Consider the following 14442-nt stretch of genomic DNA (forward strand, 5'->3'; position numbering starts at 1 on the left):
AAAAAAAAAAAAAAAAAAGAACAATACAAATAACAACAATATAGCAATTATTTATGTAGCATTTGCATTGTTTTAGGCATTATAAGTAATTTAGAGATGATTTAAGGTATATGGGAGAATGTGCATAGGTTATATACAAATACAACACCATTTTATATGAGGGATACTTGGAGCATCCTCAGATTTTGGCATATGTGAGGGTTCTGGAACTAATCCCCCATAGATACTGAGGGATGACTGTAATTATGTATATCATTAAATGACAGTTATTTTGAGCCTTTATTTAATTATTGTAGTAGGCTTGATGTAATTTACATGTATGATAAACATGTAAATGTGTGACAAGGAAAAGGATCTTTGTCACTACTTATACCCTAAGGTTTATTTTTGTCCCATGTGTTTCATAGACCTTAACCTTACCCTTTCTTGTAGTATTTTTTTTTTGAGACGGAGTGTCGTTTTGTCGCCCAGGCTGGAGTGCAGTGGCACGATCTCTGCTCACTGCAAGCTCCGCCTCCCAGATTCACTCCATTCTCCTGCCCCAGCCTCCTGAGTAGCTGGGACTACAGGTACCCGCCGCCACGCCTGGCTAATTTTTTGTATTTTTAGTAGAGATGGGGTTTCACCATGTTAGCCAGGATGGTCTCGATCTCCTGACCTCGTGATGCGCCCGCCTCGGCCTTCCAAAGTGCTGGGATTACAGGCGTGAGCCACTGCGTCTGGCCCTCTTTCTTGTAATATATTTAACAGATAATTTTGTGTGAATGATAGGTGTGTTCCCCAGAATACTGATGTTTTCCTCATACTCACTCACTATCACTGTAAATGACTAGTCTGGAGTACCACCTCTTTTTTCTTTTTAATTAGTACAACAGGAAGCTGTTAGACCAGTTGGAGAAGTGAAATGTGGAGGTAATTTAGCTTATTAATGACATAACTCAGATTAGAAAAAGAAATCCAAGTTTCCTGACTCTGTTGGTTTTTTTTGCTTATTATACCAGCATTTTCCTAGGTATGTTCTGAAGAATACAGTTTCTTTAGAATAATACTATTTCCCAAAGATTTTTAATAGGTGTTAGAGAAAAAAAGAGTTTTGGGCTCATCTAAGTGAGGAAATTCTGAGTTGATAGACCTGGTTTTCCATCTTCTCTTTGGCGGACGCCAGTTTGTTATAGATGATTATTTTTTTAGTTTAGAAATAACTGGATACAGCTTAATTTACAAAAAAAGTTTACATCAATATTTGAGCCAAGAAGTTTCAGAGAAAGATTTATCCTTAAAGTAGTGTGTAATTCTTCATGATCTCAAGTTTTAAAAAATAGACTTAAGGCTGGGTGCAGTGGCTCATGCCTGTAATCCCAGCACTTTGGGAGGCTGAGGCAGGCGGATCACTTGAGGTCAGGAGTTCGAGACCAGCTTGGCCAACATGGTGAAACTCTGTGTCTACTAAAAATACAAAAATTAGCCGGGTGTGGTTGCGCATGCCTGTAATTCCGCCTACTCGGGAGGCTTGAACTCAGGAGGCGGAGGCTGTGGCGAGCTGAGGTCACGCCAGTGCACTCCAGCCTGGGTGACAGAGCGAGACTCCGTCTCCAAAAAAAAAAAAAAAAATAGACTTTAAGTTTTTTGAGTAGTTTCAGGTTTACAGAAAAATTGATTAAGAAGTGTAAAAAATTCCCAAACCCTCCTTCTCCATTTCCCCTATTATTAACATCTTGCATTCATGCAGTATATTTGTTAGAATTGATAAGCCAATAGTGATACATTATTATTAGCTAAAGTCTATTGTTTATATTAGGCTTCACTCTTTGTGTTGTACATTCTGTGGGTTTTGACAAATGTATACATGTCCCTGATTGTTGCTGATAATGGCAACAATCTGTTCAGTAGTTATAGCTTATGGATGAGCGAAATGAATTACAGGAATGTTAGAAGGGATGAGAAGGAGGAATTGGGAATACTCTCTAATCAGGCACTTGCATTACCTAAGATCAGATTACTTTTTTACTGACAGCATATGTGGGAATAATGTATTACTGATGTTGAAATTACCTGTATTGAATCTTTGGAAGCAGATTTTTAAAGTTATCTCTTCTTTAAAAATGATTATCAACATTTGGTAATCCATGTTCACAATTTCTGGAAAACTGAAATTTGAATGTTGGCGTGTTTTCATTCTGAGAAATGATTTAAATGAAAGTAGAAGCTCTCCCATCATTACTTTTTTTAAGTCATTGCTCTACAGCTCTTAGTTGGCCTCTTTGTGTACATCCTGTTCATCCAAGTCCAACTCAAGTACCATTATTTCCACTGAAACTTCCACCCAATGTTTAAAATTTCCCTTCTTTGGATTTATATATTTTTCTTCTGAACTTTTTTGTTGTGATAAAATACAAATAAAATATCTTAACCATTTTTAAATGTATTCTACACTGGTATTAAGTACATTCATATTATTGTATACCCTTCACCACTGTTCATCTCCAGAACTCTTTTCATTTTGCAAAACTTTAACTCTATACCCATTAAACAATAACTCCCAAAGCCTCCTAGCCGCTGGCAGCTACCATTTAACTTTCTGTGTCTATTATTTTGACCAAGTACCTCGTGAGTCACTTAGCATATTGTCCTCAAGGTTCATCTGTGTTTCAGCATATGTCAGAATTTCCTTCCTAAGACCAAATAATACTCCATTGTATGTATATACCACATTTTGCTTATCCATTCATCTGTGGGTAGACACTGGGGTTGATGCCATATTTTAGCCATTGTGGATAATGCTGTATGAACATGGGTCGATAAATATCTCCTTGAGACCCAGCTTTCATTTCTTTTGGATATATACACCGAAGCGGAATTGCTGGCTCATATGGTAATTCTGTGTTTAGTATTTTTTTTTTTTTTTTTTTTTAAGGAACCACCATATTGTTTTCCACAGTGGCTCTACCACTGTATATTTCCACCGAAAGTATACAAGAGTTCCAGTTTCTCTACATCCTCACCAACACTTGCTATTTTGTTTCTTTGATAATAGCAATCCTAATGGGTGTGAGGTGGTATCTCATCATGGTGGTTGTTGGTTTTTTTGTTTTTTGTTTTTTGTTTTGAGGCAGAGTTTGCTCTGTCACCCAGGCCAGAGTGCAGTGGTGCAATCTCGGCTCACTGCAGCCTCCTCTTCCTCCCATGCTCAAGCAATCCTCCCACCTCGTCCTCCCAGGTAGCTGGGACTATAGGCATGTGCCACCCTACCTGGATAATTTTTGTATTTTTAGTAGAGATGGGGTTTCACCATGTTTGCCAGGCTGGTCTTGAACTCTTGGGCTCATGTGATCCACCTTGGCCTCCCAGAGTGTTGGGATTACAGGTGTGAGCCACTATACCTGGCCTTATTATGGTTTTGATTAGCATTTCCTTGATAATTAGAGATGTCGAGTATCTTTATATGTACTTTTTGGCTATTTGTATATCTTTGGAGAAATGACTATTCAAGTTCTTTGTTTTTGAGTTGGGTTGTTTTTTAGTTGTTGAATTGTAGTAGTTAATATATTTTCAATCCCAGTCTGTTACTAGATACATGATTTGCAAATATTTTCTCCCATTCTCTGGGTTTTATTTTTACTCTCTTGATAGTCTTTTTAAGAAATCAAAAAGCAAATATCAAATTTAAAGAAAAAAATGGAGCAAATGATCTCCTGAAAAAATTCTGTATCTTGATCACATTTATTGGAATGGTTGGAGAAAAATAAAAATACCTCTTAGCTTAGGAAGTTGTGAGTTATCTGCAAATCTCCTCAGTTTAGGAGTGGAAGAATCGTGGAGTCATTTATTTCAAAATGTATGCAGGTTTCTCTTTTGAATGTCTTACAGATTTAAAGAGGCCATTGAACCAAGTCTTGTATTTTTCTATACAGGATAAATTCCTTGTTTCAGCCAGCTGTCAGTGGAAGGCAACTAGTATGACACCATCTCCATGGACAAAGAATGTTGGAATATTCCATTTCATTGATTTATATATCTCTTTATCTGTTTCTTCATTAGTTTCTATAGTAGTCACCGTTTCTTCCAATGTCATTTAAATGTTGATCACATGCCTGTAATCTGCTTTTAAGTTCTTGGTCATTTCTCATTTTCACATAAATTTGTTCATCCAGGATGAGCCTGATGGAGATCCAGGAGCTCCTTTATGGTGCTGGTAATTTGTTTTGGGTCCATGTTGCCTGCCGTATTTCAAACACTGCACCCTTTTCCTCCTCTCTCGAATAGTGGCTTTGGATTTATAACTTAAAAACTGCTTAGCCATTCAATTTAAAACTTAAATATATAAACTATTTTATGTAGTTTTCTAATTGTTCTTGGATATTTTAGTTGCTTTAGCTAATTTTCTTTTTAAAATAAAAATAAAGTTAAAATTCAGATCTCTCTACTACCAGTTTATAAATATGTTTCACTTCAGATTTCTCATTGAAATTAAGTTTTTATTTTGAGATAACTATAGATTCCCATACAGTTTTAAGAACTACTACTGTGAGGTCTTGTGTATCTTTTATCCAGTTACCCCAGTGGTAATATGTTTCAGAATTATAGTATAATTTCACAACCAGGATATTGGAATTTTGGTAGTCAAGATACAGAATAGTTCCATCATCCCAAGGATCACCTGTTTTTTATTTTTATTTTTTATTTTTATTGCTATCACAGCCATCTCCCTCCTATATTCCCTTTACCCCCTGCATTTTGTCTTTTCAAAAATGTTATATAAATGGAATCAGGCTGGGCATGGTAGCTCATGCCTGTAATCCCAGCACTTTGGGAGGCTGAGATGGGCAGCTCACTTGAACTCAAGAGTTCAAGACCAGCCTGGGCAACATGATGAAACATCGTCTCTACAAAAATACAAAAATCAGGTGGGTGTGGTGGTGTGTGCCTGTAGTCTCAGCTACTCAGGAGGCTAAGATGGAGGTATTGCTTGATCCCAGGAAGTCAAGGCTGCAGTGAGCTGAGATTACACCACTGCACTCCAGCCTGGGTGACAGAGCAAGACTCAGTCTCATAAATGAATGAATGAATGAATGAATGAATGGAATCATATAGTACATGACTTTTGGGATTGGCTTTTTACTTGGAAGATTCCAGAGTTGTTGCTTATAGCTATAATTTGTTCATTTTTATTGAGTAGTACTCCATGGCATCCATGTGCTACCAATTTGTTGAATCATTTCATGTTGAAGGTCATCTGGATTGTTGTCAATTTTTGGCTATTAGAAATAAACCTGCTGTGAATATTCATGTAGAGGTTTTTCTGTGAACATCCCAGTTTTCACTGGGATAAAAGTATAAGAGTATGATTGCTGCGGTGTATCGGATAGAAACTGCCAAAGAGTGTTTTCCATAGTGGTTGTACTATTTTGCATTCCCACCAGCAGTGTATGAGAGATCTAGTTTTTCCACATCCTAGCCAGCAATTGGTTGTTACTTTTTTTTTTTTTTTTTACTATTTTAAAAACTATTCTTATAGATAAGGAGTATATCTCATCATGGTATTTCATGTTAGCCTTTTCCTAATGGCTAATATGTGGAACATCTTTAACTGTGCTATTCAACATCTATATTCTCTTCATATCTGTTGCCCATTTTCTAACTGGATTTTTTTTTTGTAAGTATTGAATTTTGAGAGTTCTTTATATGGATCCGTTTTTGGATATATAGTTTGCAGGTATTTTCTCCCATTCCATACCTTATCTTTTAATTCTAACAGCATCTTTTGCAGAACAAAAGCTTTTAATTTTGATGAAATCCCATTTATTATTCTTTTATGGATTGTGCTTCTGTTGTGAAGTCCAGGACTTTTTGGCTATTTTTGTATCCTGAAAAATTTCCCTTATGCATTTTTCTGAAAGTTTTATAGTTTTGCATTTCCCTCTGTGATCCATTTTTTTTGAGATGGAGCCTCTGTCATCCAGGCTGGAGTGCAGTGGTGCCATCTTGGCTCACTGCAACCTCCACCTTCCTGGTTCAAGAGATTCTCCTGCCTCCGTCTCCTGAGTAGCTGGGACTACAGGCACATGCCACCACGCCTGGATAATTTTTGTATTTTCAGTAGAATCATTTAAAATAGGATCCCTGTATGTTCAGCTTCATTGATTATTATTTTTAACATTTCTCCTTACAGATGAGATTTGAGGTGACACTTAATAGGATGTCAATACATAGTTAATAGAAGTAGAAAATCAGATCCAAGGAAAGAAGTGAAGAAATACATTACTTTTAAGTAATTTAACATAATTGCTGTGATAAAACATCAAATTTAGCTAAGCTTCCTGGGAGCCAGAGTTTTCATTACCCTAAATGAAGAAATATGTCACGAATTCTCCAGAAGAGACAAATATTTTTCTTGCATTAAATCTTAAATAAGCTGGATGTGGTGGCTCACACCTGTAATCCCAGCACTTTGGGAGGCCGAGGCAGGCAGATCACGTGAGGTCAGGAGTTTGAAACCAACCTGGCCAACATGACAAAACCCCATCTCTACTAAAAATACAAAAATTAGCCAGGCATGGTGGCAGGTGCCTGTAATCCCAGCTACTCAGGAGGCTGAGGCAGGAGAATCACTTGAACCTCGGAGGCGGAGGTTGCAGTGAGCCGTGATAATGCCACCATTCCACTCCAGCCTGGGCAACAAGAGTGAAACTGCATTTCAAAAAAAAAAAAAAAATCTTAAATAATTTCTAATGTGCACATTGTTTATGTAAGAGCTATTGAATAATGAATGGACAGTGTTGTTGAGAACGATTTTACAGCACGTATTCTATAGCTGTCAAGATCTTTTTCATGAGTTCTTTTTTGTTTGTTTGTTTTTGTTTTTTTTGAGACAGGATGTTGCTCTGTGTCCCAGGATGTTGCTCTGTGTCCCAGGCTGGAGTGCAGTGGGTTGATCACTGCAGCCTGGGCATCCCAGGCTCAAGCAATCTTCCCGCCTCAGCCTCCCAAGTAGCTGGGACTACAAGTGCGGGCTACAATGACTGGCTAATTTTTTTTTTTTTTAAGTAGAGATAAGGTCTCACTGTATTTCCCAGGCTGGTCTTGAACTCTTGAGCTCAAATGATTCTCCTGCTGCAGCATCCCAAAGTGCTGGGCTTTAAAGGTGTGAGCGACTGCATCCAGCTGGTTTTTTTTCTATTTAAATAATAAAAAGAGAAGGGTAAAATATACAAAACGCTCAGGGAAGATAAATTATATGTGAGGGTAGGCTAATGTAGTTTACAATGGTAGATTTTTTTGTTTCTAACTTGACCTAAAGATAACATAGACATAGCCATTTATGGAAACAGTATTGCTTACATCCCTCTAAACATCATTATTCTAATTTTGATTTTTGCTACATGAGTAACAGACAATTTCAGGACTTTATTTCCTAATGAAAGGATGACATACTGGAGTTCTGTTTTGCGTTTTTTTTTTTTTTTTTTTGAGACAGAGTCTCCCTCTGTCACTTACGTTGGAGTGCAGTGGCCCAATTTCAGCTCGCTGCAGCCTCCACCTCACAGGTTCAGGCGATTCTCTTGCCTCGGCCTCTCAGGTAGCTGTGATTAGAGGCATTTTCCACCATGTCCGGCTAATTTTTGTGTTTTTGGTAGAGACGGGGTTTCACCATGTTGGCCAGGCTGGTCTCAAACTCCTGACCTCAGGTGATCCATCCGCCTTGGCCTCCCAGAGTTCTAGGATTACAGGTTTGAGCCACCGTGCCTGGCCATGTTTTGCTTCTTGATGCAAAATCAATTGAGGAAATGGTATGTTTAGTATCATATTAAGAAAGTTGAGAAATATTTATATTTACGTAGAAGTCCCTTTCTTCTCCACAAGGGCTACTTGATATTATTATAAAGTTTATAGTTTATTCAGGAGTCAGGTATAGATCTACTTCTGGCACTTGATGCAAGTGCTTTGAAGACCCCTGAAAATACTAAAGAATATGAGGAGATTTTCAGACTTTCTAATAGTTACCAGTCACATCTGTGCTATAAAAAAAATACTGAGTCCCAGTCCCAGGAAATATTTAATTTCGGGCAGGGTAGTGTCTCACTTTGTTTGACTGTACTAGCTAAAAAACAAGCAAAAAACCCCACTTTCTGGTAATTGAAGGAGGTGAAGTGAAGTGTTAACACTAAATGGTTGAATGTTGGGATATGAGTGCTGCTGTCAGACGTAATTCCTCCAGCTAATGTTCAGCCATTCCTTTTTCACAATAAGTTAAATAACTGGATTAGTTGTCGTTTAGAAAAACTTTATTTTGAAGTAATTATATATTTCTAGAAGAACTGCTAAATAGTCCAGAGGATTCTTAGTATCAACATCTTATATAGACATGGTACATTTATCAAAACTAAGAAATTAACCTTGATAAAATACTATTAATTAAACTACAGAGTTTAATTGAATTTCATCAAGTTTTCCACAAATGTCCTCTTGCTATTTTGGGATCCAGTGTAAGAGACCATGTTGTATTTAGTTTTATGTCTTTTATTTTTTTAATTTTCATTTTTGTGGAGACAGTTTTGCTACCTTGCTCAGGCTGGTCTCAAATTCCTGGCCTCAAATGATCCTCCTGCCTAGGTCTCCCAAGGTGCTGGGATTACAGGCGTGAGCCACTACAGTATGCAGGAACCTAAAATATCTGCCCAGCCCAATTTTCAGGTATTTCCCCGCTCCCCTGAGATGGAGTTTCGCTCTGTCGCCCAGGCTGGAGTGCAGTGGTGTGATCTCTGCTCACTGCAGCCTCCGCCTCCCAGGTTCAAGGGATTCTCCTGCCTCGGCCTCTTGAGTAGCTGGGACTACAGGCGTGTGCCACCATGCCCAGCTAATTTTTTGTATGTTTAGTAGAGACGGGATTTCACCGTGTTAGCCAGGATGGTCTCGATCTCCTGACCTCGTGATCCCCCTGCCTTGTCCTCCCAAAGTGCTGGGATTACAGGCGCCCGGCCTCAGGTCTTTAGTTTCCTCCAATCTGACAATTTCTCAGTCTTTCCTTGTTTTTCATGACTTTGATTTTTGAAGAGTACTGGTTGGATATTTTGTAGAATGTTTCTAAGTTTGGGTTTTTCTGATTTTTTTCATGATTATGTTAGATTGTGGATATTTAGAAAGAATATCACGCAAGGGAAGTGCTTTTCTTACCATATCAAGAAAAGGGTATGATATTAACATTATTTATTACCAGTGATTTGAACTTTGATCACTTGGGTAAGGTGGTGTCTGCCAGGTTTCTCCACTGTAAAGTTACTATTTTTACTTTTCCATCATGGATCTGTTAGAAGCCCAGCTCACCCTTAGGGTGAGGGGAGCTAAGCTCTGCCTTCTTGAGAGAGAAGTACCAAATAATTTGCAGGCATGTTTAAACCACCATATAGATATTTTCGGGGAGATACTTTGATACTATTTCTCCTTAAAGGTTTGACTAGTAATTTTAGCATTCATATGTATTTTTTTTTTTTCCTGTAGGATCAGTTGTCTTTTAAGGGGTATGTCATTGGCATATGAAAGAGAATATGGCATAGTAAGAGGGCTTGTATCTAGTTCATGTAAAAACTTAAGCCAGTAAAGAGTAGTAAAAAGGGGCAATCAAATACAGTCACTTTACACTTTTGAAATTCATTTGATCTGTAAGATTGTTCTGGATCTCAATTCTTGCTGTGCTGTTACATTAGAAGGTAGATTTTGTGAAGGTACTGATCACCAATCAAGTGTGTGCTGGACTGTAGCTGGATTCTATATAGAGACTAAATGCTGGTGACACGCCGGTGGAAGCCCTCAGTTTAACCCCATTAGTGAATTTTTCAAGTGAACCTAAAATTGGTATGATGAGGGGATGCTAATTCTAAAGACTGCTGGCCTCTTAAGTATTTTTCACATCTTTTTCCCTCTCTGGCAGTTTACCTTATTTAGTATTTAGACTACTTAGACTATTGTGTTTCTCTCTCTTGCATTAGAAATAAGTTTCATGAGGGCAGGAATTTTAGCTTTGTTCTCTACCTCATTACCTTGAGCAGTATCTGGCACATAATAAGTGCTCAATAAGTATTATGTGAATGAAAAAATAATATTAAGATAAAGAATTTAAGCTGAATGAGAAATCTGTCGTGAGGCCTTGATACGTTCAGTTAAATAACTTCTGTAATTTTGAAGTTGGAAATGGTGTGTATTTTTAGGTCCTCTGCAGAGACCAGTGAGTAGTAAATTCAGTAGGCTTAGTCACCATAGCTATTTTAGAGCAGTGTTTCCTAAACTTTTATAATTTTTGTAAACTTTTGAGCTCAATTAAATGAAAAACAAAAAATCAAGGAATACCACCTCAATGTTGAATTTTCAAAATAGTGGTACTTAAATATCTCCATTCGTAAAGCTATGTATAAAGTCCTTGTTTTTAGACTGTGGTTACAGTTATAACAGCACAAGTTAATTGTATATAAACTATAACATTTATTTAAATTTTCATTAATACCAAATTCATATAACAAATGATGTTTTGCTGAAATTTAATTGGAGGTTGTATCATGACTGATTCATTTGTGTTTGACACATGTATGCTGTTAAGTGCCTTATGATGTTAATTTTCTTGTCTTTCTCTTGGAACTGTCGCAAGTTTTGGACAACATGTCATCGTGGATTTACTTTGCAAGTTTGAATCTGCATTTATAGATTTTCTGCTTGTGTGATTTTCCCAATAGAATGTAAATACAATTCAGACATTAGGACTCATGTTCTGTGGGATGACTGCCAGACAGATGGCCCTAAGTATAATTGAACGGTATACCTGAAAAGTCAGAAAACACAGGATACTCTTATTTTTATATCTGTTATATTTTCACATAAAGAATCATTAGCTTTTTTTTTCCCCCCAACTTTCAGACCCGTTCACTGGTGCTGAATTTGAAGCAGTATATTCTATTAATCTGGGGGAAAAAGCACCATAGATATACTACAGAGAGTCCACAAAGTCTGGAATAACAGGTTAAATACTGTATTATACTTCTAAAATTTTTATTTTTATTTTTTAAAGAGATGGGCTCTCACTATGCTTCCCAGGCACAAGTTCAGTGGCTATTCATAGGCATGATCATGGTGCATTGCAGCCTCAAACTCCTGGCCCCAAGTGATCTTACCACCTCAGCCTGCCAAGTAGCTGTGATTATAATGAGACCATGGGTTGGCGCCCCTGCTCCTGGCTTGTGTATTTGTTATACTTTTTTTTTTTCTAGATTAACAATTGGACTTACTGTTTAAACTTTGAGATACTTTCCCTGAAAAGGTATATGGAAATAGAAGAAAAACATAATGAGCATATTATATGAATATGTAGCTAGCATACTTTAAAATTTTTTATGCTTCTTGACTTTACAGATACCTTGTATATTAATTTGTCTTAATTTGAAACTCATAGAACTTGTGGTTTACAGTTTAGTGAATACTATTAGCTTAAAGGATCTTATCCAAATGCTTTATTTAGATTGAGATGATTTGGAGAAATAAGCCTTTCAGACATGCTTGCGCTTAACTTTTGTGGGTCTAGGAACAAGAGTACAAATGGAGTGTCACATACCGTACGTCTAATTTAAAAGTTATAAATCAATCTTAAAAAAGAACTTGCCAAAAAAAAAGTTTCGTCCTCCTTCCTTCGTAAGTATACCATAATAAGACCCTGGGAGGCCAGGTTAGAATTTAGTATTTTCAGACTTGTTGGAGTTTCTTGTATCAGACTGTGGTGGTACAAAGTTACCATCTGGCTTCTGGTCCACAGCCCTCTCTGCTTCTGCTTTCTCCACTGCTCGTTACTACAATTAAGAGTATTTGGGCAGACCTGTATAGACATCCCAAGCAACATGTTCACATCCTCTGCATACAGTTGACTCTTGGTACCCTTCAAGCCTAAGGATACACAGTCTAGTTGGTATAGTTTTCCTTCTGGAGTACTGATCTGGTGAAAGAGGCTTTGGAAGCTTGTTGAGGGCTGTTTGGGCAGATATTTTAGGTTCTGCATACCCATAGAATGATGTAGCATTAGGGGAGAAAATGTGCTCCAGTTAGACAAGTCCTCTTGGCGCAATAGACTCCTTGCTTCATGGGGAGGGTTGTATAGCTGGAGTGGTACCCCCTAACTCAAGGAATCCAGGGCTTGAGCCACTGTTGTTTAGGTCTAAGGGATCCATGTTGCTACATTTCTGTTTCCTGAAAACTACAGTGGTCGTCCAAGTCACAATACTCTACCTTGGGAAAATTCAACTGGGATTTATTATGCTTTAAAAAAAATGTAGTACAAACATTGTGGGGAGATTTGATATCAATTATTTGCTAAGTTTTTCTTGATAGTTCTACTTAACCCACCCAAGTGAATTTTTTCTTTGTTGTTTTGAAACTAGAAGCTTACTGATATTAAGACATGGATTATCTGGGAATAGTTTTTGGTTGTCAGTCCTTTGATATAAAGCAGAGGTGGCACATTCATAAGCCAACACATCTCATATTGCATATAAGCTAGGAATGTTTAGGCTGTGGGGGATTGTAGAACATTAATTTCGACATTCTTTTGTGCCTATGCATGAAATTAGACCCCCCTCCCCCAAACATTATAGACCTGGATTCTTTTTTAAAATGTAAAACTTACTGATTTCAGAATGTTGGTTTCCCTACACTCGTTACTCCCCTACACTCTCTACTCTCCTACCCGCTACCCCTTTTAAAACTGTGGTGACCAAAGAACACATCAGTTGGGTTTAGTTTGCTGACTGACAGTTGGGTAATAATGATGTGTGGAGGGAATCAGCTTGTCTTTGATTGAGACGATATATTAAAAGCGCATATAATTTACCCCCCACCTAGATTGTTCTCCTCTCACCCCCAGATTGTTCTCGAGAGTAATACATTTTGAAAATAATCTGTGGGGGAGAGGAGAAGGAAAAAAGAGCTGAGCTGCAACTCCGGTTTCAGAGGTTGTGTCCTGTGCTTGAAAAACACGTAGGAATTGGTGAAAATTAGTCTTTTTAGTCTATGCATTGACTCTTGGGAAAGTATGTTGTGCAAGAGATGAGAGTAACAGGTGAGAGTACTATACTGTATTAGAAAGTGAGAGAGCCCTTTGTTCCATGTAAGACAGTCTTGCCAGTCCAGTTTTGGTTACATGTGGACCTGAGTACATCAAATTTGAGGATTCAGTTTAATGAAAATGATGAACATTGTAACATTTTAGTTTGATTTGTTTCATAGTGCTGTAAATACTACTTCATGCTGTTTCTTTTTTGTTAATTTGCTTTTATGAATATATAGCACTTATCTTGATAAATATACTACAAATGTGATTATTTATTGAGGTTGGCATGTCCCACGAAAGTTTAAAAATTGAGTGTGAAACAATTTTAGCAGGAATATCTTTGCTCAAAGAATGAGGTTTTTCAGAACTGAAAAAAAAAAAATGCATTGTAGGCCAGGTGCGATGGCTCACACCTGTAATCTCAGCACTTTGGGAGGCCGAGGTGGGGGATCACTTGAGGTCAGGAGTTTGAGACCAGCCTGGGCAACATGGTGAAGCTCCGTCTCTACTAAAAATACAGTAATTAGCCGGGCATGGTGGTGGGCGCATGTAATCCCAGCTACTCAGGAGGCTGAGGTAGTAGAATCGCTTGAACTCGGGAGGCGGAGGTTGCAGTGAGCTGAAATTGCCCCACTTGCACTCCAGCCTGGGTAGCAGAGCGAGATTCCGTCTTATAAAAACAAAACAAGAAAAACAAAACAAAAAGTGCACCATAGATTCTTAGGACAACTTTTATGTTAAAAAAAGTCTTAAAATGGTTCGGATTTTTAAAAAATGCCAACCATTTTTTTTCTAAAGAAAATTATGCTAGCACATAGGGGGGCCAACAAGAATATTTAGGAATTTTTGTGTCTACAAAGTATGTGCTGAATTAGAAACACTGAATTTTTTTAGCTTTTGGCATTGCTTCTCAATTGCTGTAATCTGCTTCTTGAAAAGAAAATCAACTCTGAGGGGCCGGGGATGGTGGCTCATGCCTGTAATCCCAGCACTTTGGGAGGCCGAGGTGTGCGGATCACTTGAGGTCAGGAGTTCAAGACCAGCCTGGCCAACATGGTGAAACCCCATCTTTACTAAAAATAGAAAAATTAGCTGGGCATGGTGGCGGGTGCCTATAATCCCAGCCACTTGGGAGGCTGAGGCAGGAGAATCGCTTGAACCTGGGAGGCAGAGGTTGTAGTGAGCCAAGATTGTGCCACTGCACTCCAGCATGGGTGACAGACTCCATCTCAACAAACAAACAAACATCAGAATATAGATTGATATATGTGTTTCTTTGAGAAAATTTTCTCATATCCCAGGTGATTTTGGCTGTCTTCAGGTCAGTAAGTTGTTAGAATTCAGTGACAACTACAACGGTTTTC

At 37.9% G+C, this 14442-nt stretch overlaps 1 protein-coding gene and 1 pseudogene across 19 annotated transcripts in view; one reads left to right on the forward strand and one right to left on the reverse strand.

Moving 5' to 3' along the window:
• The window catches only part of ERBIN (erbb2 interacting protein), a 155972-nt gene that overhangs the window by 14740 nt on the left and 126790 nt on the right, over positions 1 to 14442 (forward strand). The window lies entirely within an intron of this gene.
• Positions 3491 to 4259, reverse strand: LOC100303749 (LSM3 homolog, U6 small nuclear RNA associated (S. cerevisiae) pseudogene; annotated as a pseudogene). Its single transcript, NR_028474.1, has one exon. The product of NR_028474.1 is annotated as an LSM3 homolog, U6 small nuclear RNA associated (S. cerevisiae) pseudogene (transcript).

This window comes from Homo sapiens, chromosome 5 (assembly GCF_000001405.40).
Source record: "Homo sapiens chromosome 5, GRCh38.p14 Primary Assembly".
Taxonomy (NCBI): domain Eukaryota; kingdom Metazoa; phylum Chordata; class Mammalia; order Primates; family Hominidae; genus Homo; species Homo sapiens.